Source organism: Homo sapiens, chromosome 11, assembly GCF_000001405.40.
Source record: "Homo sapiens chromosome 11, GRCh38.p14 Primary Assembly".
NCBI lineage: Eukaryota > Metazoa > Chordata > Mammalia > Primates > Hominidae > Homo > Homo sapiens.
In genome coordinates, this window is record NC_000011.10 from 65,592,729 (window position 1) to 65,614,241 (window position 21,513).

Consider the following 21,513-nt stretch of genomic DNA (forward strand, 5'->3'; position numbering starts at 1 on the left):
CCATCCTAAGCCGGAAGGTGCGGTTTCGAGGTTCCCAGGGCCAGCGGAGGCTGGACCTCGGCCTTCCCGGGATGGTGGCCGGTGGCTCAGGGAAGTCCCATTCGAAATAGTTGAAAATAGCCGAAGTCGTTGCTCATTTTATGATTAACAGTATCCTCTGAGGCCTCCCGCCCACCCTCACCGCGGCTCCATCTCCAGATTCTTCCCCAGCCACTCCTGGCTGCTTCCTCCTCAGGTGCCGCCACCTTACGGAGCTGAACTCGGTCACCTGACGCTTCAGCAAGCAGGGGCTTGTCCTGAAGCTGGGGCCGCGGGCGGCAGGGTGCTCAGAGCCAGTTCATCCTGCCCTAGGATGCCACCTTGGTCCTCAGCAGTCACAGGACCACTGGGTCTGAAGAACTTCCCCATGGCACGGACCTGCGGCAGCTCAGAGAAGGTCTCCACTGCCAGCAGCATGGCCAAGAGTCCTAGAAGCAAGTAACCTGGGGAGGAGAAGGTGCTGGGGCAGCGCCTGGGTTCTGGTGATGCTCCCCGCCCACCTCCCAGCGCAGTGACTTGCCCTGGCAACTGGCACCACTCACCCCCTTCTCAACGCTGCCACCAGAGCTCTTCGACTACCCCTCCCACGCCGTGCCCTGGAGTGAGGTCCCTCCACCTGCAAGGCCCAGCCCCCCAGTGATTTATGGGAGTCCTAGTCCAGGCTCCTCTTCCCCCTTCCCCCACACGCTGTTAGGTGGCTGGACTTACCAAGAAGTGCGAGCTGGCCCAGGTGGTAAATCACGGGGTGCAGGCTGCGGCCGCGGCCGGGCAGCAAGTCCTCCAGGCCAATGGTGCTGAGCGAGCTGAAGCAGAAGTAGACGGCCCCCAGCAGGCTGCAGTCGCCCTGAAGGCCCCACAGCACCAGCGCTGGCAGCAGCACAAAGCTGCTGGCCACCAGCAGTCCCAGTGCAACTGCCTGCAGCAGCGCAGCCCTGGCCGGTGACAGCTGCCAGTGGACCGCTACCCAGGCACGTGGGCGGCTGAGCACAGGCAGCAGGCAATGGCGCAGGGTGGCCACGAGAGCTAAGGAGGCTGGCAGCCCCAGGGCTGCATAGACCATGCAGAAGGCCTTTCCGCCTGGCGATAGTGGGGCCATGTGGCCATAACCTGGAGAAGAGAGAGTCAGTGGACAGTGAGAGCTCTGAGTGCCATGTCTGCTGGGGTCCCTGCCTACCCCAATACTGCCTTCCGCAGAAGGCTGCCCTCTGGTGGCCTTGAACTGGCCAGGCCCAGGTTCTAGCTGGCTCTGCTCCTCTTCGTCAGGGGATCCCTTACCCTCTCTAGGCCATTCTTTTCTTTTTTGGAAAATGAAAGGATGAAAGAAGACAGTTCCTCAGGCCTTTTGTAGCTGGGACAATTCTGAGAACTGCGCTGCCCTTAACAGATACTCCCGATTCCACAGCTGGTGGAATATCATCCACTCTTTCCCCAAATGTGTGTCATGTCCTGTGTGCCAGGCTTTGTACTGGGATCTGAATCAGCCCAGGCCCTGCCCCTTCTGGTGGGGGAGTCGGGCAGGCAAATCATGAAGGGCTGCAAAGAGGCAGCATGGGCGAGAGAGGGCATGTGCCAGGCGGGGAGGGGTGGGAGTGCGGGGTGTGCTGGGAGAACAGGATCAGCTAATACAGAGCTGCAAACGCACATGCCTACCGGAGCCAGATGGGAGACAAACAGGAGTGGTGGGGACAGGGGTACACTGGAAAGTGTGAGCTGTATCCAAAGGGCAGGCCCCATTCTGCTCCAGTCAGGATGTTGCCTTGCAGGGATTCTGGCTCAGTGTGAGTGGGTTTCCTGATTTTCCAAAAGAAGTTGGAAATATGAGCTGGGCACAGTGGCTCACACCTGTAATCCCAACACTTTGGGAGGCTGAGGCAGGTGGATCACTTGAGGTCAGGAGTTTGAGAACAGCCTGGCCAACATGGCAAAACCCCGTCTCTACTAAAAACACAAAAATTAGCCGGGCATGGTGGTGCATGCCTGTAGTCCCAGCTACTCAGGAGGCTGAGGCAGGAGAATTGCTAGAACCCGGGAGGTGGAGGTTGCAGTGAGCCAAGATCGCACCACCGCACCCCAGCCTGGGTGACAGGGTCAGACACCGTTTCAAAAAAAAAAAAAGTTGGAAATACAAATTCCAATTCAAAAAATACTGAGACACTTTGTGGGGCAAAAAATACGAAAACCCAGGGCTGTGGGTCTCATTGCTGCTTTTCCCTGGGCCTGTGCCCACGCGATTTCTCTGCAGGACTCCCTCATCCCTGTCTGTGCCCTCCTGATCCACAAGCATCTCATGCCGACTTCCTCCCCTATCTTCCCTCACTCCCCCACCCGAGGCCATGGTCCTGATCTGTCCTTCCCAGGTTCATTCTATTTGCTTCCATCCAAGAATCCATCCCACTGTATTGTATCCCCTATCTGGCCACAGGCTGTGGCATCTGGGCAGCTCTCCTGGGTCTCAAAGGGTGCCTGGGGTGGGACTGGGGAGGCCACACCCTTCCTGGCAGTTGAAGTGGAGGCACCAGTTGGGGTGTGTTGGTGGGGAGCCCCAGCTGTGATGTCAGGCCTCACAGGGCCTGGGCTCCATCTGGCTCTTTGGGGCTGAAGGAAGGGCTGCATGAACCCCAAAGCCCCCAGGGAGCCATGGCCTCTTGGAGCCGCACCCCCCGACTTGGCTGCCTGGCTCTCTTACCTGTGGTGGTGAGGATGCTGGCAGCGAAGAGCAGGGCTGAGGGAAGGTCCCAGGTCCTGCCCTCTGAGCTGTTGCCCAGGGTGGAGACCCCATGGGCCTGGGTGGCCAGGGCAGTGCCCAGCAGCTCTTCCAGAGCTCCGGGTGGCAGGCAGGCCCTATGCTCTGCCTGGAAGGCTGCCAGCTCTGCCCTGAGCTCAGCCTGAAGCCTGCATGCAGGAGGCCCCTCCAGGGCCTGGAACACCACAGCCCCAAGCCCCAGGGCCAGCAAGTGGGCCACAACCAGGAGCCCGTATCGGGACCAGGGCCTTAGACCCCCCATGGCAGGCCGCTGGGGTGCTGTGGGAACTGGCGGCTCCACCTCAGGCACCTGGGAGGGGCTGGGCAGGGCGGGGCCAGGAGGAGGTGCTGTGTGGGTGGCTGGGACCCGGCTGGGATGGCTGGGGTGGCTGGGGTGTGAACAGGAGGGAGGTGAGCTGCATCACCCTTCCCAGGTCCTGGAGGCAAGACATTTGCCCATTTCACAGCAGCTGGGATGGTGGGGATGGGTGGAGGAAGGCGGCTGCGGTGAGGGGAGGAGGCGGAGGAAGCTGAAGCCTAGAGAGGACCTCACACTTATTCAAGGTCCTGCTCACTCAGGCACCCATACCACATTCATTCATTCATTCATTCATTCAAGTGCTTAGGGAAGAGGACAGGCACAGGTCCTTTCCTTCCTGGTGTTTACACAAGAAACCTCTTAGCAAAGAAACATGGCAACCTCACATTGTCATGAGTTCCATGAAGGAAACACCCTGGGTGATGGGAGAGCTCTGCGGGGAGCGGGGGGGTTATCTCACTGGGAAAGCTCTGCTAAGGAGGTGATATTTCAGCTGGGGAGTAAGAGGCCAGTGAAGGTAGGAATGAGCTTGGGGTGTGAGAGGAACAGAGGGCTGGCTGTGGCAGGGGAGAGTTGGGGGTGAAGGGGGGATAAGGACACAGGCCCTTGAGGATAAATGTGGTCCAGGGAGACCTACGCTGGGCTACTGTAGGCGTCATGGATGGAGTGATTTTGGCCTGGGTGGTGTGGTGGGAGAGGAATGGTGGCAGCTGGGAAGGATCAGGTGGGGGTGGGAGGTGGGGAGAGGACTCCAGGGTGCCCAGAGCACCCGGGCAGATGATACCCTTGCGCCCGATTGCCAGTTCTTCCTGAGAACGCTTTGTGCCTGCCCTCCTGACTCCCTGCCCCTGAACTGCAGACACAGAGTCTGGGCTGCCATGGGGCACCTGGGAGAGGGGAAGGGGGAGCCTGGGTTCCAACTCCTCTAACGTCAGAGGGGCTGAGGACAGAGGCCAAGGAAGGGACCCAGCCCTAGGGTATGGTGTGGGAGTGCCAGAGCCCCCATGGCAGTGTGAAGAGAATGGACAGAGGCCGAGGGAGGGACCCTGCCCTAGGGTATGGTGTGGGAGTGCCAGAGCCCCCATGGCAGTGTGAAGAGAACTGTCAGGGGTGCCAGATGCCATGGCAAGTCACCATACTGGGAGGTGGGTGGAACTTACTACTCTTTTTTTTGAGATGGAGTCTCGCTCTGTCGCCCAGGCTGGAGTGCAGTGGTGCAATCTCGGCTCACTCAACCTTCGCCGCCCGGGTTCAAGCTATTCTCCTGCCTCAGCCTCCCAAGTAGCTGGGGCTACAGGCACCTGCCACCACGCCTGGTTAATTTTTGTATATATATATATTTTTTTCAGTAGAGACGGGGTTTCACCATATTGGCCAGGCTGGTCTCAAAATCCTGACCTTGTGATCTGTCCGTCTCGGCCTCCCAAAGTGCTGGGATTACAGGCGTGAGCCACCATGCCCGGCCTATGGTTTTTTGTTTTTTTTTTTTTTGAGACGGAGTCTTGCTCTGTTGCCCAGGCTGGAGTGCAGTGGCGTGATTTTGGCTCACTGCAACCTCCACCTTCCAGGTTCAAGCAATTCTCCTGCCTCAGCCTCCAGAGTAGCTGGGACTACAGGCATGCACCACCACACCTGGCTAATTTTTGTATTTTTAGTAGAGATGGGGTTTCACCATGTGGCCAGGTTGAACTCCTGACCTCATGTGATCCGCCGGCCTCGGCCTCCCAAACTGCTGTGATGACAGGAGTGAGCCACTGCACCTGGCCGAGAAGAGCCTTGAATGACTGACCAAGGCTGGTGGATTTGGTCCCAGGAGAGGCATGCAGTACAAGGCATCCAACTGCCTATTGTTGGGGCATCAGGACACCAGGGTTGTATGATAGGTTGGGTCACCTGGTTACCTCCAAGAAAGGTGACAGGCTACATGTGGGGAGACAGCTTTTGAGTTTATTTGGCTTCTGGCTTCACTGGATCCCGAGGCTAAGACTCCAACCCTGGCTGGGGCAGCAGGAAGGCATCCAGAGAGCCCTGGCCCCAGATGACCCCCAGGGCAGGAGGTCCATGCTCTAAGCCCTAGGGCAGGGGCCGCAGTAGCAGGACTTGGTCAAAAGTGCTGGTGACAGCTGAGGCCGGCCCCTCTTCCCTGCACCTCCCCTCCTCCCTGCATCACCCCAGCAGGCAATTCCCTGAGACAGGCTCTGGTCCTCCCAACCAGCTGGGTACAGTGTTGGGCCCCAGTAGGGCAGGTGAGCTGGGGGGACCTACAGGTTTCAGATGTGGGGGCGCAGGTCCCCCTTCCAGTGTGAAGGCTTCCTGTGCAGTGTAGTGTTCCTGACCCCCAAAGGGGGGTGGGGTCCCTGGGGAAACTGAGGCAGCTGCAGAGGCTGACCCAGCTCCTGTTCCAGTGTATGCTGTGACTCCTCCTAAGGCAGCTGGAGCTCGGGGGAGTGGCCTGGCCCACTCAAGGCCCCGCTTCCGGCACCCACGGGGCCTGGGCACCCATGTCTTTGGTCTGTGCCCTGCAGTCCTGGGGGCCCCCCTGGAAGGGGTTGGCAGGTGGGGAGTCCCAGAAGGGGTCTGAGTCCGGGAACAAGGTCCAGGGTGCTCGGCGGGGTGCAGGCTGTGGTGATGGCAGGGGAGAAGGCCGTGGCCCAGCTGACACAAAGCTCCAGGGATCAATGCGGCTGCGAAGGGGCGAGGGCCGAGGTCGGCTGATGAGGCCCAGGGGTGGTGAACGTGGGGTGCCTGGGGTGCCAGGAGCAGAGCGTGATGTCCCCGGTGGGGGTGAGACAGTGCCTCCTGTGAGGATATAGGAGGGGCACAGGGTCAAGCAACCCCCAACTGCTGAGGTCCCCAAGACACTGTCCTGCTCTGGGCCTCAGTTTCCCCATGTGCACAGTGACCTACTTGACTCAACTTCCACCGCCCTTCCTGCTCCGTGGTGCCTCTGTTTTTTGTAATAGTTAGGAGTGAGGCCTCTGCAGCAGGCTGGCCTGGATGTGGATCCCGGCCCTGCCACTTACTAGCTGTGGGAGCTGTGGGTCCCTTAATCTCTGTGCCTTAAATTTCCTCATCTAAAAATGGGCATCCAGGAGCGCTTAGTTCTCTGGTTGTTATGACTAAATGAGACCATCTCGGGAAAGCCTTGCAAACAGTACTTGGCACAAGTAAGGAGCCAGGAGTTTGCTACGATTATGATTACATGTATGCTGTGTCGCCCAGGCTGGAGTCCAGTGTCATGATCACCGCTCACTGCAGCCTCAACCTTTCAAGGCTCACGTGATCCTCCCAGAGTGCTGGGATCACAGGCGTGCACCACTGCCTGGCCCGATTACTTCTTTTATTTCACAGCAGGCATCGCCCCCACCTGCCTGGACCACCTGATAGCTGAACTTAGAACTCTGCTCCCTACATGCGTCTTCAGTACCCCGAATGCCTGGTTCAGGGTCCAGCTGATGACTGTGGTCTCGGCCTTGCCTCCTTGCATGTCCCCACCAGCCACTCCTCCCTCCCTGGGAACCCCCGTCTCCCATATGTGAAGCAGGCCGGCTTCAGGCCACTCACCGCGGGGCTCCTCCTCACGTCGGGGGCTCTTGGCTGACCGCTGGCCCACAGGGATACCCAGGTCCAGCAACAGGGGTGCAGGAGTGGGCGGGGAGTCGGGCGTCTTGAGCGAGAAGCAGATGAGCGGGGAAGGGGGCGGCTCGGTCGGGCAGGGCGCGGGCGTTGGCGTGGGGGGTGTTGTCGGGGACTCCCCGCGCTCGCGTCCTGGGCCTCCCGGCGGCTGCAGGTCGCGGCCAAGGCCCAGCGAGGCGAGCAGGGCGGTGCCGCGCAGCAGCGCCCGCTGGATCAGCTTGGGCGTCCCAGAGCTGCTACCGCGCTCTGCGGGGACAGGCCTCTTGGGCTCCTCGGGCTCCAGGCTAGGCCGCGGGGGGTTACCTGCGGGCAGAGGCGGCACAGGTGAGGGTGTGGCTGGTGCATATTCCGGGTGAGGGCCCAAGACCTCTCCGTGGTCTTGGAACAAGGACTGAGTTCTGCCCTCTACTAGCATCTTCCCTGGTCCCACAGGTCCCATGGCCTCCCCATCACATACCCACATTCTGGCCTTTCACAAGATGGGCACTGGGAGGGGAGGGCAGTGCAGGTGGAGGAAGCGGCAGCAAAGCCCAATGGCAGCCAGCGACCCCAGACCCGAAAGATGGATGGGCAGTCCCAGTGGAGGCAGGCTGGGGCCAGGTCACAGTGGGCCTCTGTGGCCTGCCAGGGGCAACCTCCAGGCCCAGGGGCATGGCAGGTCCCACTGACTGGGACCGGCGCCCTGTGCTCTGTGCCCACCAGCTTCCTGGCTTGGCAGCCCTGCCCCTTCTGCCCACCCACCCCCGCTCCAGCTGTAGCTTATAAGATGCACACAGTCAACTCTAAGGTACATGGCAGCCCTGAGGGCATAAATCCCTGTCTCTATTCTAGAAAGGAGGAAAATGAGGTTCAGAGGGGTCAGTACCTTGCCCAAGGTCACAGCTAATTTACAGAGTATGTATTTGTGCCAGGCCTGAGCTGAATGGCATAGGGGCATTATGTTGTCTGATTCTCATGCCCCAGGGGTTCCAGGCTCAGAGAGGTTGAGGGCTTGTGCGGAGCTGTACAGCCAGTGAAAGGTGGAGCCGGCCTCACCCCAGGCAAGGGCAGTAGAACCTTTGCTCTCCACCATTTCCCAGCCAGACTCTGCCCTAGATTTCAAGACACTAGTGTCCTACCTTCCAGTCTAGGGTTGGCCTGACTCCATTCTAGACCACTTGGGCAGGGATGGGGAACCCCTCATTAAGGACAAGGGACTCTAGGATGGGCTCTCACAAGCCCTGATTTTGTCAGATCCCTCCTTGGCTCTAGAAACTGCTGTGGCTCTCCACTGTCACTAGGAGAAAGTCTGGCCTCCTTGGCTGGTCCTCTGAAGCCCTCCCTGGCCTTGTCCCTCTGCCTTTCCCCTCCTGCCTGGAGTGCAGCAGCAGGTTGGATGTCGGGAGGGAGAAATACAAGGCTGGGAAAAATGAGCTTCTACTATGAACCAGGACTTAGCTCACAGTCCCTTCTGTCAGCCCCAACCCTTACTCAGACTCTCTGCCTCTTACCTCACCCAACTCCCACCCCGGCCACTGCCACTGAAGGGACAAGGGAATCCTTCTAAAATGCAAACCTGTTAAAGACAGGTCTCTGCTTAAAAACTACCCATCACTTCCAGCTTCATTCACTCATTCATTCAATCAACATCTACTGACCCATGTGCCTTGGCCCCTGTCCGCAGCCCCAGTCCTGAGACTCCTCGGCTCTCAACTCTTCTCGGAGTTCAGCCAGGTTGCCTTTTCCTTGGGTATGGTGAGCTGCATGCCTGCGCACACACTATTCACTCTGGGTGGCTGACCTTTCCCACCTTGGCTTTCAGTGACCTCTTATGCACCATCCAAGACCAACTGGGATGTCACTTCCTCTGTGAAGCCCTCCCAGAATCTCCCTGAACCTACACAGTTATTGCTCACGTTATGCCTCATAGAGGTGCTACTGGACTTGTTTATGAGTCTGCCTGCTTCATCATATGAGGTCAGGGCAGTGTTTAACATGTTGATGCCTGGCTCTTAAAATGCAAATCCCTGGGCCAGGCGCGGTGGCTCACATCTGCAATCCCAGCACTTTGGGAGGCCCAGGTGGGATGATCACGAGGTCAGGAGATCGAGACCATCCTGGCTAACACGGTGAAACCCTGTCTCTACTAAAAACACAAAAAATTAGCCAGGCGTGGTGGTGGGCGCCTGTAGTCCCAGATACTCAAGAGGCTGAGGCAGGAGAATGGCATGAACCCAGGAGGCGGAGCTTGCAGTGAGCCAAAATCACACCACTGCACTCCAGCCTGGGCAACAGAGCGAGACTCCGTCTCAAAAAAAAAAAAAAGCAAATTCTTGTTTGATGAAGAATCCATTTTTATAATCCTTGCACCAACCACGAGGTTATCATATCACCCCCACTTCGCAGGTGAAGAACTGATCATTTACAGTGAGTTTAAACAGAAGAGGGGAAATCATGTTTAAAAAAAAGAAAGAGTTGGCCGGGTGCGGTGGCTCACACCTGTAATCCCAGCACTTTGGGAGGCCAAGGTGGGCGGATCACGAGGTCAAGAAATCGAGACCATCCTGGCCAACATGGTGAAACCCTGTCTCTACTAAAAAATACAAAAATTAGCAGGGCATGGTGGCACGCACCTGTAGTCTCAGCTACTTGGGAGGCTGAGGCAGGAGAATCGCTTGAACCCAGGAGGCGGAGGTTACAGTGAGCCGAGATCCCGCCACTGCGCTCCAGCCTGGGTGACAGAGTGAGACTCCATCTCAAAAAAAAAAAAAAAAAAAGCAAGAGAGGCTGGGAGTGGTGGCTCAAGCCTATAATCCCAGCACTTTGGGAGGCCAAGTAGGGCAGATCACTTGAGGTCAGGAGTGCATGACTAGCCTGGCCAACATGGTCAAACCCTGTCTCTACTAAATACAAAAATTAGGCCGGGCATGGTGGTTCACGCTTGTAATCCCAGCACTTTGGGAAGCTGAAGCAGGTGGCTCACTTGAGGTCAGGAGTTCGGGACCAGCCTGGTCAACATGGTGAAACCTCATCTCTACTACAAATACAAACATTAGCCGGGCATTGTGGCACATGCCTGTAATCCCTGCTACTTGGGAGGCTGAGGCAGGAGAATCACTTGAACCTGGGAGGTGGAGGTTGTAGTGAGCCGAGATTGCACCACTGCCCTCCAGCCTGGGCAACAGAATGACACTTCATCTCAAAAAAAAAAAAATTAGCTGGGCATGGTGGCACATGCCTGTAATCCCAGCTACTGGGGAGGCTGAGGGAGAATTGCTTGAACGTGGGAGGTGGAGGCTGAAGTGAGCTGAGGTCGCACCACTGCACTCCAGCCTGGGTGACAGAACAAGACTCCTTCTAAAAAAAAAAAAAGAAAATAGCAAGAGCAAGCTGGGTGTGGTGGCTCACACCTGTAATGCCAGCACTTTGGGAGGCTGGGGTGGGTGGACTACTTAAGCGCAGCCCAGCCTGGGCAACATGGCAAAACCCCATCTCTACAAAAAATATAAAAATTAGCCAAGCATGGCATGCACCTGTAGTCCCTGCTACTCAGGAAGCTGAGGTGGGAGGATCACTTGAGCCTGGGAGGCAGAGTTTGCAGTGAGCCATGATCATGCCATTGCAGTCCAGCCTGGGTAACAGAATGAGACTCTATCTTTAAAAAAATAAAAGACAGAAATGAGACAAAGGGAAGAGAAGATAGGGTCCAGCAGACAAAATGAGAGTGAACAGAAGTTCCTGCAGTCAATGGCCTGAGAAACTGAGGTTCTGAAGGGTAAGGGACTTGGTCAACATAATCCAGCTAGGATTTGAATCTGCCTCTAAGCTTCCTGGCAGCAAGAGTTAGCAACTCTGTTGTTTAGGAGAAAGCTGCGTGACTATTCTTGACCCAAAGATAGATAGATAGAGGCGAAACTGCTTCCGTGAGGTCTCACAGGGAGGACACAGCCACGTAGTTATTGGCTCTAAGGCAACAAGCTTCACAGGGCAGTTGCTATCAGCGTAGCTGAGTGCACCCTGCCAATGTGCCACTCCTTGCAGCCAGCTCTCCAGGGACCAGAACAGCCCACTGGGGACAGGGTGAGGGTGTGTGTGACTCTCCAGTGGTATGGCTTATGCCGGGGACCATCTCACAGGGTCTGGGACCTCTGTGAAGCCCCATTATTTGATTCTTAGCTGGGTTTCGGGGGGTGGCTGTGAGGTCAATGTCATGTACTTTCATGGACCCAGATGATGCGTGGAGTGTGGGATTGGGCTAGGGGAACCAGATGCTCAGCCAGCCACTGAGCTGGGCAGCTGACATCCTTTCAGGGCAAGTGGCAATCCATTTCTTCATCAGCCAGGAAGGGCACTGGTGTTGAGGCCGACATACTTATCAAGAACAGTAACTACCATGGTTTCCAGTGCTTTCATGAAACCTCAGACATGTGGCCTTCTGGCCACACATCTGCAATTTCATATTGTGGGAGCATTCACTGTATCCCTGGGGGCTGCGGCTCTCTCAGTTTGCAGGGGCTGGACCAAGAAAGAAGGCATTTCAGATTTCTATGGGCACAGATGTCTACAGAAGTTATGATGCCATGAAATACTTCGAGGAGATGAGGAAGGCTGCTATCTCTCAGAATGCAAAGTGATTTTGGAATATGAAGAATTTCTTTGGGTTGAATTACTTAGAAGTTTGTCACTGATCTGAACTATTCATGAATATATGGGCTAATAAGTAGTTTCTCTTCATAAATAATTAACAAATTCTTTGGATAAAAAAACATGGGGCAAGCTTGAGAACGATGGGGCCCAGGCCCCTTGTGCCCCTGCTTCTGGGAGCTGAGGGCCAGAGAGTTCTGTGGAACAGTCAGGACCTGCTTCAGCCTACACACCTGGGTTGACAGGCTCTCAAGTTCTCCTTTGGCCCATCTGGCCTGGTACAATTTAGAGCAAGTGAATTCAAGAAGCCTCCTTGGCCTTCCAGCTCTCAGTTCAGTCCCTGCAGGACAGATGCTGGGGGCAGTGCAGCTGCTGGAGTAGCAAATGGCGGGGCAGATGGAGGCCCAGGGCTCTGCCTCTGTGGTCAGACAGGCAAGAGCAGATCAAATCCCTGCTCTACTGGTTGCCTTACATCAAACCACTTAATCTCTCTGTGCCTCAGTTTTCTCTGTTGTAAAATGCAGGCCAATACTACTACTCCCCTCACAGAACTGCTTGGCACATAGAAGAGAACCAACAAAGGTTAGCTGTTGTTACAACTATCAAGTGTAGCTCAGGGAATGGAAGAGGCGATGGGCTGGGTGGGATGGGAGGAGTGAGTTTAAACGGCTTGCTGAACAGGACTCTTCTGAGAGCAGCTAAGCGGGTCCTACATTCTGGCTGTGAGCAGCAGGTGTGGGGGCTCTGAGGATGGTCCCTAGGTTGGCACAGGGACCCACAGGCAAGGGAGGCCATAACTCTCTGGCCTCACTCAGAGCTGGGCAGTGTTGAGCTGAGTGAGCCCTCCTCCCTGCAATGCTGGAGCCCTGCCTTCTGCCTGACCCTCTGGCTTCCTAAGCAGTCTATACGTGAGAAGCCCTTTCTTCAAGTGAAAGCTTCTGAGCTCACTACGAGAGCATTGGAGCTGAAGCCTCTCTGGGTTCAAATCCTCAGCTGGGGGTTTGAGGTAGGTTACTTCACCTCTCAGAGCCTCAGTTTCCTTATCTGCAAAATGGGGTAATAGTAGCCCCTCTTCATCAATGCTTGGAGGGAATGCCTGGCACAGTAGGGCAGTTACCGTCATGGAGAACAGAAAGGCCCCGAGCTATCCTGGATGTGGTGAGAATGGGTCCTGGATCCTGCCTGCTCGGCCTTCTCATTCTCTTCTTCACCTACAGGCTCCCAGAAGGGGCTCTGAGAAGCACAGTGTGGCTGACACTTGTTTGGCTCCACCCCACACAGGCTGATTCCTTCCCCCATCTGGGTCCAGCTTCCCTTGGGTACCAAATGCCAGGTGGGCTTCCTGTCTTTCTTTTCTCCCTGGAGCCTGCTAAAGGCACAGGGGCTGCCATGGGGCCAGGGAAGAGGCTTCTTGCAGGCCAGGTCTGAGCAAGGGGATGAGACTCTGGGCCCCGAGCCGAGGCCTGGGCTGTATGCCGCTTGATCGTGGGCCTGTAGGTCAGACCTGGGTTCCAGGATCGGCTCTGTCTTGTCTCAGCCTTGGTTTCCTAGTCTCTAGAATGAGAGCAACCAGGGCAGGACTCCTGCTTTGCCTACTAGCCTATTGTGGCCTCCCCAAGGTGCCCACGGAAGGAGCTCAGCCAGATCCTGCCGGGGGAGGAAGGCCACTCACCATTGAGTGCTGGGGGTGTGGAAGGAGATCCTAAGGGGGATGAGTCATCTGAATCCAGGTACCATGTGGCTTCGTCCATGCGGGACCTTCTCCTGGTGATGGGAGGGCAAGGAGGGGTGCTTTAGGAATTTCAGGACTTGGGGAAAGCAAATGATGCTGGGTCTGGGGGGCACTCAGGTACTCACCTCCCATTCTGGGCTTCCCCAGGCTTGGGGGAACTGGGACCCCAAGCCCAGCATGCTCGCCGCTCTCCATTGCTTGAGTCCTCCAGACGTCGGGGGGACTGGCGGCCCCATGCCTGGCCTGGCTCTGCAGGCTCCACTGCAGGGGAAACCGATGAAATCGGAGATAATCTTTATTCTCCCTCCATCATCACAGTCAGGCTTCAGAGATAAACTTTAGAGTATGGGGAGCAGGCTGGGCCCTGTACCATTCCCAGGGTGAGCTTTGGGCAAGATAGATGGGTTTGGGTCTTGGGGCCAACAGTGGGGTGGGGCATCTCATCTAGCCCTTGGGCTGAAGTTTGCTGCTTAGTAATTAGTACAGACACTGACACCAACTGCCTGAGTTTGATTCTGGCTCTTCCACTTATTAACTGTGTAACAAGTTACTTTTTTCACTTTTCTCATCCATAAAACTTAAATTAACAACAAAAATAACTACCAAATAGAATTATTGCAAGAAATTAATATTAGCAAAGCATTTAGAAAATTAGTAGTACATAGTGTCATACAATTATTTGACTAAAAAAAAATAAGTAAAATTAATGCTGCTTGGGGAGTTCAGAGGTAACAGGCTAGACCTAAGGCAGGGAGCCTGGGGGCGGGGAGGAAGAGGGGATAGTGAGTGGGCTCCGCCTCCAAGAATAAGGTCTGACAGAGAATAAGGAGCTGGGGGGCGGAGAGGGGCATGAGAGGTGAAGTTTCTTACACTGGATGGCTCGGAACCGGGGAAAGGTGGGCGAATCCCCAGGCCCGACCTCGAAGACGTTTCTCCTCCGGTCAAGGCCGGGTGAGGCCTGCACGGTGATGCGGTGCTTGAAGTCTGGGATTTGGGTTGGGGGGAGCAGGGTTCAGGTTTGTGATGAAGTAGAGCCAGGACCCCAACCTGCAGGGGCCCAAGGCCAGCTCCCAGGCCACATAGGGAGCGGCACGATGGCTGTGAGACTGTGACCAGCCTCACTGCTTTCTTGAGCCCCTGGGTCTGGATAAGGAAAGCTACTCGTCTGAGTCGGAGATGCCCTGGCGCCGGCCGGCCCCGCCCACTAGACCTTCCCAGAACTTTCGTGAACCCCACCCCTTCCCACTCCCAGACCGACATGCAAATACTTCCGCCAGAACCCGCCCACAGACAGAAAAAAAACACTCCTGGCTCCACCCCTCCCAGCCTTCATCTCACGGGCCCACCCACAACACCCTAAACCAATCCCAGCGCGGTGAGCACACAGGCCTGGCTCCACCCCCACCCCCGCAGCCAATGGCGGGGGACGCCCCGGGGCCCGGCCCTCACCGAGTGGCATGCTGATACGCTCGCCGCCGTCGCGCGCCCGGAGCTTGCTGCGCTTGAATGTCCCGCGGCGGCGGCGCACGTGCGGTCGCTCGCGGTCCACCTGCTGCAGCAGCAGCGTCAGCTCGCGCTCGAACACCTCTAGCTCCCACTGGGCCAGCAGGTGCTCGCGCCGCCGCAGCTGCTCCGCCTGTGACCGCTGCTCGCGCGCCGCTCGCGTCAGCTCCTCCTCGCGGCTCAGTAGTTCCTGCGCCCGAGACAGCGATGGTGGAGAGGTCAGCCTGGCACCAATCCCGGCAGCGCCCGCCCCGACTCTGCCCCAGGGAGATCGGGGAGACACTCGTTCCAACGCTGGGTCCCTTGATTCCTCGCACCTTTTCCTTGGCTCGCAGCTCGTCGAAGAGACCCTGGATCTCGCGCTTCCAGCCTTCCTGCATGGAATGGAAGGAGTCCCGCGGCATTTCCCGTAGGACCTGTGCCTCCAGCGCCTCCAACTGCTGCAGGATGGAGGCGAAGTCGGGCCTGCGGTGGGGGTCCTGCGCCCAGCAGTCTAGGGGCACGGCGTGCAGCGGGGACAGAATAAGAAGGGGTCCGTGGGTGGATGTGTCCTGGGCCAGGGAGCTCTGTACCTCACCTGCCCTCCCCGTCCTCTTACCGGCCATAAGCTGTGCGAAGGGCTCGGGGCAGGTGGATGGGATGGGCAGTGTGAGCTTGTTAACAGCTACGCCATAGGCCACAGCAAGGCAGTCAATGCCACGGTATGGCACCTCCCCGGTCAGCAGTTCCCACAGCAGCACCCCAAAACTGTGGGCGAGACAACAGGTCTGTGTTCCCTTTTCTCTCCCAACCCCCACCCCCTTACTGCCACTTCACCCAAAAGCAACTAGGAGCCAAGTGGTTTGGGTCCCTGTCCCTGGACTTGGCCCAGCCCTAGATTTAGGCAGCCACCTCTGCCCTCTGCAGCCCCGTAGCAGCCCGTCCAGCCCCACCAAGGGCCGCACCTCCAGACGTCACTGCCCTTAGAGAAGGTGGAGGCCTTGATAACCTCAGGAGCCATCCAGGCGTAGGTGCCCGCGGCACTCATTTGTGTGGTTTTGTGCCACTCTCGGGCCAGGCCAAAGTCGGTGATCTTCAGGGTCTTGTGCTCCATGTCGTCACTCTCAATGGGCTGCAGCAGCAAAACTAGAGAAGAGGGGCCAGATTGTGGATGCTCCAGGATCAGGTGGTGGGGACAGGGTAAGAGCTGGGAGCAAACTCATCTGACGGACATCCTGGCTGGGTCCTGGGGGCACAGAGGTGACTTGGTCTAGATCTTGAGGACCTACTTGAGGTCAGACATTTCTTTTCTTTTCCTTTTTTTTTTTTCTTAAGATAGAGTTTTGCTCTTGTTGCCCAGGCTGGAGTGCAATGGCGTGATCTTGGCTCACTGCAACCTCCACCTCCTGGGTTCAAGCGATTGTCCTGCCCCAGCCTCCCGAGTAGTGGGATTATGGGCATGTGCCACCACGCCCGACTAATTTTGCATTTTTAGTAGAGACAGGGTTTCTCCATGTTGGTCAGGCTGGTCTCGAACTCCCAACCTCAGGTGATCTGCCCGCCTCGGCCTCCCAAAGTGCTGGGATTACAGGCCACTGCACCTGGCCGAGGCCAAACATTTCACACTCAACCCCAGCACTCAAAACCATTTATGAGCTAAATAATATTTTTCATGTTTCACAGATGAGGAAACCAAGCAGGGAAATGACTTGGCAGAGGTCATACAACAAATACAGCAGAGATTACAACCTGGTCTGTGTGGCTCTGAAACCAGTGTTCTAGCTTTTCCCTAATATTACACTGAAGCAAAACTGGCAAGGTGGCAGCTCTGGACATTTATGGCTTTGATTTCAAGAGAGATCTGTGAGTCTCCTGTCATTTTGTTGAGGCAGGAGCGTGAATCAGAACCCCCCTTAGAGTGGGGAGCAAGAGGGAAGCTCTTGGTGAGAAAAGAAGCCCAGCAGGTACCACAGGCCCCTAGTGCCCACATCACACTGTGGCAAGTGCAGCCACTCCCAAAGCAAAGACTCCAAAAGATACCTACCAATGCAGCTGGAAGGGAAGAGAAAGGGTGGGGTCCAAGAAAGTGATGGTTCTTGGCCACAAAGGAGGAGCTTGGGGTAAATGTAGGCGTGGATGGTCAGACTTGGCAGGGGCTCATGGCTTTAACCCAAATGGGGCCACCGTACTTGGTACAAAGAGGAGAAGCAGCAACTTGCATATCTCTCACCAGGACAGGAATGGCTCAAATGAGAGAAGTTTTCGAGGAATAGAAAGAGGACAAAGTCATAGAGTCATGAAGGGTCTGAAGGGCCCCTCTACTTTTCAGGTTACAGCCAACTGCACTGTGGAAGAGAAGCAATATCAAGTCAACCATGTTTCTGGACCCATGTCAGGGCACACCTCTCAGCTCTCCTGCCCTGTGTGACACGGCTGTCATGGGGGCAGCATAGGGCACAGGGGGTGGGGCAGATGGGAAGGGCACCTAATACAGCCTGGTGAGTCAGGGAAGACTTCCCAGAGGAGGTGGCAGAACCAGGGTGCTCATTTTTCAGGGCTTAAAGCAACAAGCCCTGATCCTGCTGCTGGCCAGGCCACCTGGGCCTTGAGGAGGCATCTGGCACTGCTGCCAGCTGTCCCCGCTGCCCCACCGTCCTCAGCCCCCACAGCCCCTGGCTGCTTGGCTCTGTTTCTGTGTCCTCCACCTTCAGCCATTTCGGCGCTGGTGCTTCTCAGAGCATGACCTCTCCTCAACCTCTGCCCACTGCCCCTGGCTGACTCAGCCTCTTCCAGGTACCAGCTCCCTCTCCCCACTGGCATCTTCCACATTTGCAACTCCAGGCCAGACAAATTGGTTCAGCAGCTCTACCTGATGTCCAGGTGCCCTCCATGACCACCTTTACTATCCCGGCATGCCCAGTAGATTTTCCTGCAATTTTTCCTAATCCAGAGAATGGTCTCAAAATCTACCCACTCCTCTGAGCCAGACCTTGGAGCTGAGTCCTGAACACTTCATCAAGCTGAGGATGACAACAAAACCCTCCTCAGATGGCTGTCACGAGCATGAAACAAGACCACACTTTTAAAGTTTTTGCATGGGGGCTGCCACCTGGCAGAAGCATCCTAAAGGCCAGTTGTCCTAAAGCACTTATCGTATCTCCGCCCTCCTCTCCCTCCTCTGTCACTCCTTACTGCCAACTTCAAAACAGCCTCTGGTCTGGCTGCTGGAGGCGGGGACCTGAGCATTTAGCAAGCCCCCGACGACAAGCTCATTCCAAAGGGGAAACACAGCAGGCTGGGGCAGTGGGTGGAGTGGAAATGGGCACCTCCCCTGGTGCCAGGGCCCACCTTCCCCTTTGAAGACCAACACTTGCTGCTTCTTGGCCTGTCTCTAGCCACTTGTGGCACCCCAGACTGGCAAAGTGCTGTTCCAGTATCTCAGGCCGGGTGGCCACTCTCCACCTTTTTCAGGTGGGGAATCTGAGGCCCAGAGAGGGGCAACAACTCACCCAAAGTTTCAGGACTTCTTTGTACTTGTGGTCTTTCTGCTACCTCCCCGCTCCTGGCTCTGCCAGCTGCTAAGCCCCATCCTCTGCTTTCTCTCCAAGCTCCTCTCTGTGCTTTCAACTGTCCCAACTCGAACTGCTGTTCTGGTGTCTGATGTAGATCCCAGGCATGGGAGGTCAGGGGTCACCCAGAGGAGAATGGGCCAGAGACCCCGAAACTGGGGGAAGCTCTCAGTGCCCCTTTAGGGCTCCCTGGCCTCTGATAGGGACCTGGCCACCAGCTCCCTCCCTGGGCTGGCCTCTGTGGGGCTTGGGAGTGGCCTGGGCAGCTCACACCTCTTCCGCTTTCCTCCCGTGGTCCCTACTTCTCCTTTCTGGGAGGCCTGGGCCAGGTCTCCCACTTGGGAGGGGGAGTCCTTTTGGGGAGAACTGGGGGAGGTCAGGCCCAGGCCGGGCTGGCTGGTCAGTCCTGTGACTCGTGGGCCTGGAGAATTCCCCCTCCTCTCCCCGCCAGGCTTCCTCACAAGGCCCCCATTGTCCAGGAAAATCATGCCATTGTTTCCTGCCTGTGCCCCCCACCAGCCCAGGGACTCCCCCCACCCCAATCCTGCAGACAGCAACTTGGGCCTAGGACTGGGGTCTCCGAGGTTAAATGCCAGGCTCAGGGAGGCTGAGGGCACCTTGCCTGCCCTTTACCACCACCTCCCAGACTCTGAGAGGGAAGCAGGGGAACTAGAGGGGAGTAGGGGAGCAGTTCCAGGCTCCTTCCTCCCGCAAGTCCTCCACCCCAAGCTCTTTCCTCCCCTGCAGGCAGCTGGGCTAGGGAGGGAGCAGGGGCTGGAGCAGGGACAGGAAGCCGGCTCAGGGGCAGCAGGAAACGCAGGAAGCAGTGGGGAGGGTGGGGAGCAGGGGCCTGGGCTATTGTTCCATTTTTTCTGGAAAGAAAACGGAGGAAAAACAGAAGATGGGAGTCCCCTCCCCCTGTGCCTTCGGGGAATCCCCCTCAGATTGGGGCAGGTAGCGGGGGTCCCTAGATAGTTAGAGCCCAGGGTTGAGGCTGAGAGGTGGGAACCGCACCCTACCAGGGATGAGAAGAGTGGGTAGGATGGTTGGCAGGCCTCTCCTGGCTCCCCCAGTCCTGGCAAGAACTTGGATATCTGGGGCTCAGCACTCTGTTTCCTGCAAGCCCCTTGTCCATGGTCAGCCCAGGCCAGGAGGCTCAAAATATCCACGTTGACCCCCCTCTAAGAATGTCTCATGCTTTTCCAGTGACCACACTGAGCCTGGCCCCTCCTGCATTTCCTACTGCTGCTCTCCAGCCTGCACTCTGGGCTCTAGGAGGCCCCTGCTCCTGGTCCCTGCTGTGTGCTGGGTCCTGCTTCCATGCCTTCTCTCTCTAAATGCTGCGTGCACCAGGAAACCCTCTGAAGCTGTCACTCACTTCTCTTGGGCCATGATGGGCAGCGTGTCGGGGGCTTGAAATGATGGGAGATGGAGTCTCCCTTAGCCCAGCACTCCCATCCCAAGCACTGATTTCAGGCTAGGCCCTCTTGGCGATCCAGCCCTCAAATGTCCATCTCCATGGCTGAGGACCCGCTGTGGGTTGGGGATCGCAGGTCGGGCTTGCCCAAGCTGTTGAGCTGTTTCACTCTCCCTTTTTACAGATTCTGAAATTGAGGCTCCGAGTTGGAGTAACCAGCTAGAGGTCATGAAGCCAGGGAGGGCTAGGCCAGAATTCCAGCCCTGGCCTTAGCCTTGACTGCCAAGGAGGGCTTCCCTCTCTGAGATATCTGTTCTGGAGGAGCTGCCCATGACGACGGGAGGGGAGGACAGAGCACCAACTCCACGAACATGAATTTAGGGGAGGAGAAGATGAGGAGCACGAGCTTCCAGAGGACTTCCTTGAGGTGGGAGCCATGGCTGGGCAGGATGCTTATGGCCCACCTGAGAGATACCAATTTCTTAACTTGTCCAAACCGCAGCTGCAGGCTGGGGTCAAGGACTTCTGAAGCTGGCGCAGGAAGACTCTGCTGGGTGCCTGGGGCTCTGTTTGGGGGCTAGCTTGAGCCCATGGGCACCCCTGGTCAGCTGGGACCCCCTAGGGTGGGAGCTCCTACCTGCAGTAGACCCTAAGCTAGGCTCAGTGGAAGGTTGGGAGCAGGTGTGTACCAGAGCCATGCCACCCCCAACCATGCCCCCAGAAACTCACTGTTGTTGGACTTGAGATCACGGTGGATGACGGGCACCAGGGCCTCGCAGTGCAGGTAGTGCATCCCACGGGCAATCTGCACAGCCCAGTTGACCAGCACATGGGGAGGCACGCGCCGCCCGGCCAGAGCTCGGCTGAGGGGCCCACCGGCTGCATACTCCATCACCAGGCACAGGTTGGGCTCCTCCAGGCACACAGCCTTGAGGGCAATGATGTTGGGGTGTGCCAGCATGGCGAAGAGCCGGGCCTCCTGGCGAACGCTCTCGGCTGTCACACTGATGTCCTCATCGGGGTCCTGGCGAGCTGCCTTCACAGCCACCAGCTCACCTCGCCAGCTGCCCCTGTACACCTTGCCAAAGCCTCCAATGCCGATCACCTCCTCCAGCCGCAGCTCCTGGAAGCTGGCCACCTCGCAGGGGGGCGGGCCGCCACCCCGAGACACATAGTTGGACGGGAAGATGCCCACCTGGCCACCCACCTGGCCCGCCCACCAGCCCTCGTCTCCTGAGATGGCTGCGTCCCGGGACAGCACCTCCACACGGTCACCCTTCCTCAGGGCCAGCTCATCCTGCCCACTGGGCTCGTAGTCGAACAGGGCTGTCCACACCGGGTTGGCATAACCCGCTGCCTTTGGAGACCCCTCAGGCCGGCCTCCTCCACCGCCCCCACCACCCCCGCTGCCACTGCCATTCCATGACCCTAGAGGGCTCTTGAGGAAGAGGCTCTTCAAGGGCTCCATGGCCGGGAGCCGGCGCTGGGATGTGTGGAGGACCTTCTCTGGGTGCCCGTGGTCCCCACCCCCGCTGGCTGCCAAGGCCCTAGTCCCGGAACCTGGGCATCCGGGCCCTGGCCCTCAGCCCCAGACCCACGCCTCTCTGGGGAGCCAGGAGTGTTGTCTCCCGGCCCCCCGCATCTCGGGCTTCTGGAGGAGGGCACCCAGGGCAGTGTGGTCAGGCCGGGGGGGTGGGGCCCCGGGGCCTCCGGCGCCTCACCATGGCTAGCTTGGAGGGACCCGAGCTTCCCTCGGTTCTGGAGCAGTCCTGGGAGCCTGGCTCCGGCCCCCGCCAAGTGTAAGGTGGGGCCTTCAGGGGCAGCGCCTCAACTCCGGTTGGGTCTTTTTGCGCAGGGGGTGGAGGGAGCGTCCGCAGTTGGGCCGAGACTGCCTGTTCCTGGCCCCGTCTCCTTTGGCCCCGACGGCTCCGACCCCGCTCCCTTCTTCCTCCT

The 21,513-nt window shown here is 57.6% G+C and overlaps 2 protein-coding genes across 6 annotated transcripts, besides 3 other annotated features; both read right to left on the reverse strand.

The window, feature by feature from the left end:
• Positions 1-107: 107 nt before the first annotated feature.
• On the reverse strand, positions 108-3,072 carry KCNK7 (potassium two pore domain channel subfamily K member 7). 4 transcript variants are annotated; one of them, NM_033348.2, is made up of 4 exons: positions 2,726-3,072; positions 748-1,146; positions 582-655; positions 108-482 (listed from the first exon to the last, which is right to left on the reverse strand). In NM_033348.2, exons 1-3 carry the CDS (start codon positions 3,042-3,044, stop codon positions 615-617), a joined length of 759 nt encoding a protein of 252 aa, NP_203134.1. In that variant the 5' UTR covers positions 3,045-3,072; the 3' UTR covers positions 108-482; positions 582-614. The 4 variants fall into 4 exon arrangements, with proteins under 4 accessions (NP_203134.1, NP_203133.1, NP_258416.1 ...); NM_033347.2 differs by lacking the exon at positions 582-655; NM_033455.2 differs by having other exon boundaries at positions 108-655.
• Positions 3,073-5,028: 1,956 nt separating this feature from the next.
• On the reverse strand, positions 5,029-21,493 carry MAP3K11 (mitogen-activated protein kinase kinase kinase 11). Of its 2 annotated transcripts, none has more exons than NM_002419.4 (10): positions 20,290-21,493; positions 15,540-15,720; positions 15,194-15,342; positions 14,913-15,088; positions 14,542-14,785; positions 13,963-14,076; positions 13,218-13,353; positions 13,033-13,124; positions 6,666-7,040; positions 5,029-5,900 (listed from the first exon to the last, which is right to left on the reverse strand). In NM_002419.4, exons 1-10 carry the CDS (start codon positions 21,026-21,028, stop codon positions 5,563-5,565), a joined length of 2,544 nt encoding a protein of 847 aa, NP_002410.1. In that variant the 5' UTR covers positions 21,029-21,493; the 3' UTR covers positions 5,029-5,562. The 2 variants fall into 2 exon arrangements, with proteins under 2 accessions (NP_002410.1, XP_047282918.1); XM_047426962.1 differs by lacking the exon at positions 5,029-5,900 and adding an exon at positions 12,865-12,914 and having other exon boundaries at positions 6,852-7,040.
• Positions 14,412-14,511: a silencer, noted in NCBI's record as "silent region_3544". NCBI's record gives its function as "represses an Ori minimal core promoter by ATAC-STARR-seq in GM12878 lymphoblastoid cells {active_cell/tissue: GM12878}" and the evidence as "EXISTENCE:reporter gene assay evidence [ECO:0000049][PMID:35858748]".
• Positions 19,928-20,815: an enhancer, noted in NCBI's record as "H3K27ac-H3K4me1 hESC enhancer chr11:65380127-65381014 (GRCh37/hg19 assembly coordinates)". NCBI's record gives its function as "activates a minimal SCP1, AML or CMV promoter by ChIP-STARR-seq in primed H9 embryonic stem cells {active_cell/tissue: H9 hESC(primed)}" and the evidence as "EXISTENCE:reporter gene assay evidence [ECO:0000049][PMID:30033119]".
• Positions 21,103-21,282: a silencer, noted in NCBI's record as "silent region_3545". NCBI's record gives its function as "represses an Ori minimal core promoter by ATAC-STARR-seq in GM12878 lymphoblastoid cells {active_cell/tissue: GM12878}" and the evidence as "EXISTENCE:reporter gene assay evidence [ECO:0000049][PMID:35858748]".

Excerpts from the sequence above, each read along its gene's own strand:
- KCNK7 (NM_033347.2), bottom strand. The coding sequence starts at position 3,044 with ATGGGGGGTCTAAGGCCCTGGTCCCGATACGGGCTCCTGGTTGTGGCC. Across the intron at positions 1,147-2,725 it reads CAGCATCCTCACCACCACAG|GTTATGGCCACATGGCCCCA; the intron begins GTAAGAGAGCCA and ends TCTCTTCTCCAG. Across the intron at positions 483-747 it reads GGGCCAGCTCGCACTTCTTG|GTTACTTGCTTCTAGGACTC; the intron begins GTAAGTCCAGCC and ends TCTCCTCCCCAG.
- MAP3K11 (NM_002419.4), bottom strand. The coding sequence starts at position 21,028 with ATGGAGCCCTTGAAGAGCCTCTTCCTCAAGAGCCCTCTAGGGTCATGG. Across the intron at positions 15,089-15,193 it reads CTTCGCACAGCTTATGGCCG|ACTGCTGGGCGCAGGACCCC; the intron begins GTAAGAGGACGG and ends CCGTGCCCCTAG. Across the intron at positions 13,125-13,217 it reads GGGGAAGCCCAGAATGGGAG|GAGAAGGTCCCGCATGGACG; the intron begins GTGAGTACCTGA and ends TCCCATCACCAG.